This window comes from Homo sapiens, chromosome 13, assembly GCF_000001405.40.
Source record: "Homo sapiens chromosome 13, GRCh38.p14 Primary Assembly".
Lineage (NCBI taxonomy): Eukaryota > Metazoa > Chordata > Mammalia > Primates > Hominidae > Homo > Homo sapiens.
The window spans coordinates 85,273,153-85,278,739 of record NC_000013.11 but is presented as its reverse complement, the minus strand read 5'-3'; the positions used below and the strand labels follow the sequence as shown (position 1 = coordinate 85,278,739).

The 5,587-nt window shown below is 31.3% G+C and overlaps 1 annotated feature.

The window, feature by feature from the left end:
* Nucleotides 672–966: an enhancer, noted in NCBI's record as "tiled region #7103; HepG2 Activating non-DNase unmatched - State 24:Quies". NCBI's record gives its function as "activates a minimal TATA promoter and a strong SV40 promoter by Sharpr-MPRA in HepG2 cells {active_cell/tissue: HepG2}" and the evidence as "EXISTENCE:reporter gene assay evidence [ECO:0000049][PMID:27701403]".

Genomic DNA, 5,587 nt, shown 5'->3' with positions numbered 1-5,587 from the left:
CAAATCTATGAATGGATGTATATATTACACAATTACTTGTTATCTTCACTTTCTTACTCCTAGGATTTTGTTTGCACATTCTCAGTGAAGTAAAGAATTGAAATAATTATTTACAAAGTTCATTAAAATGTTTTTTAGTGAATTATATGGCTAATTCATTACTTTTTAGTTTGTTTTGTAATATATAAAATTTTCATCCAAATTTCCCTGAACTACATGCAAACATTTTTATGTCCTTGTAGCATTTATTTTGAAAATAAGACATGAATTTGAGCTGTTTGTATTCTACTAACTGGTTTTGTGATATTAGGAATTCCAGAAGCCTAAAACGTATATTTTAGAAAATTGTAATTATAACAAGCTTTTGAAGCTATAGTTTGCCATTAATTTTTTTTTTACAAAATTGTTTATTCAAGTAAAAAGTCTAACTCATAACTTGTGTATTATTTAACACTAAATAATTCAGAAATGCAGAACACCTCAGAGACAAGCATATACACTGCAGATACTGGTAACTAAATAAAGAACCTAGTTCAAGTTGATTTCCAATAGCCAGCGGAATAAAATAAACATGAAGTGGAAATAAATGAAAATAAGAATTTCTTATTTGATTTTAATCATTTTTATTTCTCAAATTGAGGAATTTTTTTTTAAGTTTGTTTTACTGCCCTGGGTCCAAAATCAACTCATTCAAATCTCTTCAATCTTTTTTTTTTCCTTTAACACTTTATCAAAGTCATTAGTTACCATACTGGCTGCATGGTGGGATTCAATGATGTCATAAAATCAACATGCTTTGTCAAATAGTATATCTCTTACTCACTCTAATCAGCAGCTAACTGATGAATGGCATTCCTTTGGTGGGCAGAGTATCTCTCTGCATAGTTACATATTTATTCAAAAGCAGATAATTTGAGAGAACTTACATTAACTTAAAGGAGAAAATGATTTTCTAAAAGCATTCTTTTGGAGTAATGTATGCTATCTGTACGTGTCAAAATCTTCACATGCAATTATTTACGTTTTTACTACAACATTGATTTTTACAGTTGTTGTTCCATGTATTATAATATGCATACTTTATCAAAGTAGGATTATTATTATGCCACTTCCTGAAAAATTAAACTTACAATATTAAAATGCCTTTTACCAAGCACCACCCTTTTTTGCAATTGTTATCATATAGTGGAATCTGTATAAGTAATGATTTTGAAAGTTGTTATTAACTGTATTTACATTTATGTTTTTCTTTATGTCATCCTGAAGATTTGAGTTTCCATTTGGTGTCAGCTCCTTTTCACCTAAAGAGGCTTCTTTAGCAATTTTTAATAATGCAGTTCTACTGGTGGCATATTTTCTCAGCATGTGGTTATCACAAAGTCTTTATTACACCCATTTTTAAAGAATATTCTCACTTTATCAGAAATTATTTGTTTAAAGTTATAATGGTAGTTTCAGGTTTTTTGAAATTTATTTTACTGTCTACTCTGACCTCCATTATTCTTAATCAAGAATCAGTCATCTCTTACATCTTTCTAAGTAATTTATCTTTCCCTTTTTGGGTCTAATATTTTACTTTTATATTTTTTTTTTTACCAGTTTGCCACTGCAGTTTCTAGATATGCTGTTACTTACATAAATCCTGAAGTTTTCTGATCTAGATGAATCTGTATGTTGATGATCTAAACTTTACACTAAATTGTTGAAATCCTAATTTGTTTGTTTGTTTGTTTGTTTATTTGAGACGGAGTCTCGCTCTGTCGCCCAGGCTGGAGTGCAGTGGCGCAAACTCGGCTCCCTGCAAGCTCCGCCTCCCGGGTTCACGCCATTCTCCTGCCTCAGTCTCCCGAGTAGCTGGGACTACAGGCGCCGACCACCACACCTGGCTAATTTTTTGTATTCTTAGTAGAGACGGGGTTTCACCGTGTTAGCCAGGATGGTCTCGATCTTCTGACCTCCTGATATGCCCGCCTCGGCCTCCCAAAGTGCTGGGATTACAGGCGTGAGCCACCACGCCTGGCTGAAATCCTAATTATTTATATCTCTTTCAGAGACTCCAATTATATAAGCAATATACCTATTAATTTTTATCCAATAGGGCACTGCTCTGCTTATTTATTCTTTTTATTTTTAAAAACCGGTTTTTTGTTTATTTGTTTTTAACTCTATGTTCTTTAGTGTAAATTACTGATCTTGCTATCTCTTCAATGTCACTGACTACTTTTTGTGCCACCTTTACTTTGTGTTAATGTTGATCCAGTGAAATTTTACATGTTTAGTTCTATAATTTACATTTGGTTTCTATTTCTCTGCCATGATTTTCCAAATGTTCATTTTAGGTCAAGCTTTTGCTTTAGGATCATGAATATATTTACAATAGACATCTTAGCATTTTTATCTGCTGTTTCCAACATCTGGCTCATATTGAATTTGTTGACAGTTAAAAAATAAAGCTATGCATTATGTTATCCTCCTTCAGTAGATGTCCAGTATTTTTTAAATGCATATTGTATAATAGGGGTGATACATTGCAAGTAGCTAAATTATACTGTCTTCCTTTAGAACTTGATGAGATTTTATGTCTCAGATAGTAAAATACTGACAGCTTTTTCAAGCATTGCAGACTCATCTATTTAGAATATAATTTTGATAGAAAGATGATGGTATGGAGTATACTATACCTACAAAGTACTGATTCTGAGCTACTCTCTTTTAAAAAATATTTTTTTCATCAAATCATATACTTTCCCAGCTATTGTTTTTTCATTCAAAATCTGCAGGTAATGTTCATCAGACTGGTATCAGAGTAAGAGAGAATATTGCTTTATTGTTATTGGTCCTATTGTTTGTTTAGTTTTTACTTTTTAATTATTGCTACAATTTTAATTCTATGAATAATGAGAAATTGATGTAAATCATTTTTAGACATGTGTTTATGAAATTATAACGAAGAATTTACACTCTAATCATATGGTTTATATATTTAACAAATCTGAAAAATAAAAAAGAATCCTTTACTAAACTATTTTATGTTTTTACCTTGATAATGTGTTTAGAAAGTTACTTTTTCAGAAGTATAAGATTTATTTTATGCTTTATTTTATTAGAAATAAATAAGAAATAAAAGCACTTATTGAAAATGTGAAATTGCTTTTATCCTGTATTTTTTCCTCCATAGAACACATACTTAAAAAATTAATTTTATACTGCTGTCAATATTTCAAAATCATATAAAAAACCATTGTTTAAAATATACTCAATAATATTTTAACATGACTAAACTAAAAACACATTACTTAAAAAATATATTATGGTACTAAATAAAATGTGTGTTCATACTGAATAAATTAAGAAGTCTCAATAATGAATGTAAAAACAGACAGGATTATACCCATATGTAAGAGACAGAAAAACATTAAAGATGGAGGTCCTTTTATTCTTCAAGAAACATTTGATTATAAAATCATATACTTAAAATAATTTCCGAGGTCTTAAACACCCATTGATTACCAGTACCTTAACAGCTTATTTAATTTTCTATTTAAGATCTCCATATTTATAATATGGTATCTTAACCATTCGACTTAGTTTCCAATTTGGCCTTGGTGTGTTTTAAGTCTTTCCAGATAAAACATGAGGGAAAACCAGATTGTTCCTTCACTCAAATTTTCACAGATTCTAAAAAATTTTTATAATAATATATCATTTCTAGCAAAAACCTCATATGTGTAATAAAATAAGATATATCTTCAAAATAAACTAGCCAAGTGCACAGTTAAAATGTCCAACCTAGAAGACTTGCATTCTCGAAGATAATTATTTCTCTCTGTCAAGGAAGTACACTTTATATACAATCTGGGTGCATCTGGGAATGCCATCTGGGCTTACCATGTATCTTTCCCCTATGGTTCTTGGGGAATAAGGGGAACTGATAAGAATAGGAGGTGCATGATATTTGCTGTGCTCTGCTGCAATGATGTCCTTTGCTCTACCTCCAGAGTCTTTGTCTTATGCTAGCATCCATGAAACTGGGGCGTATTAACTTGTTAGGCTTCAAGCAGGATAAAATCTGAGTCCTGTTAGATTTCTTGACAGTATCTATTAATCACTAGCTGTGTAATCTGAAATATGCTATCTACTGGACAATATACTTTATGAATATCACAGTGAATGATATCCACAGTGAAAAAGACCCATTAGCAAAACGCTGTTATTAATGTTGTGATCAAAGCAAGCAAAAATCAGACACAGAAATAAAAACAATATGTAGGACTGACAGGAGGCTTGGGATGGAGTTTATAAAGGATTGTCTGAAAATGACTCTAATTAACAGACTTTGAAGGTGAAAGGCCAATTTTAAGAAGAACCTTGTCACCAGAAGAATGGGTCAGAAAGTAACACAAGGGGAATCAGCATGTTCACCATATCTCAAATGACAACACTGATGTATGTTAGAGAAAGTTACATCTAGTAGTATAGCTAGAATATATGGCGTGAGAAGAATAATGAAATAGGCAGAAAATGGGTACATGGTGTTAAAGAAAAAAATATTCTGACACTTCTTAAAATTGGCAAGAAGAACTTTGAGGGATTGGGCTCAATTCAAACTTAATCTAAAGTAAAGATCGCTGGGGATCTGAAGCCAGGGAGCAATGCAATGGGGTCAGTGGATGGAAAATTACTAAGAGGGGACATCAAGGGTAGGACAATTCTTACTAAACTGACCCAACAAGATTCTTGAGATAGGCAGGCAAAGGACATATACATCAAGGGTGGGATGAAGAAATATGAGCAGATATCAAGGATGATCAGGTATCAAAGGTGGAAGGAGGAGTTTTACAAAAGAGACATAGAATGATTCCTGCTAAGACAAGGCTATTGGTAGAAGACAGTGCTTGTGTCAACAGAAAAAGTGAGGATTATAAAACATTTTATAGGCCATACAAAGTAGTTTACTTTCTAATTAAGATACAAAAGATAGCTATGAATAAATTTCTACCAGAAGAGAAACAAGATTGACTTTTTTCCCAGGGGATAACTTCTGCTGCTATGTGAAGAGCCAGGACTTGAAATCAGTGATATTTTGACCTAGTTATGAAAGTGGATTATCAAAACTTAACTAATTTTTATGATTTATATAGAAATTCTACTAAAATATCCTTTTCTACATTTTCCTTTTGTAACAGGTAAAATAGAAAGCAAAAAATATGTTGTATATCTATTATCGAAGTTTTTCATATTTATACCTTTTCCTTGTGAGACTGAAATTGTTTTTGATTTATTTTTAAAGCTTTTATTTCATAATTATATTATTTATAGCACAAATAATACATGCATATTTTTGAAAATCGATCAGTACAGATAAACAAAGGAAAAATTGTTATAAGTAATTTGTTATTACTATCCAAAAATAAACACTATTAAGATTTTGATGTACCATGTGAGACTTGTGTGCTTATGTGTGTGTGTGTGTGTATTCATATATAGATTCTTTTTTTTCTATTTTTTGGGGGTAACAGATGGTGTTTAGTTACCTGGTTAAGTACTTTAGTGATTATTTCTGAGATTTTGGTGCACCCGTTACCCA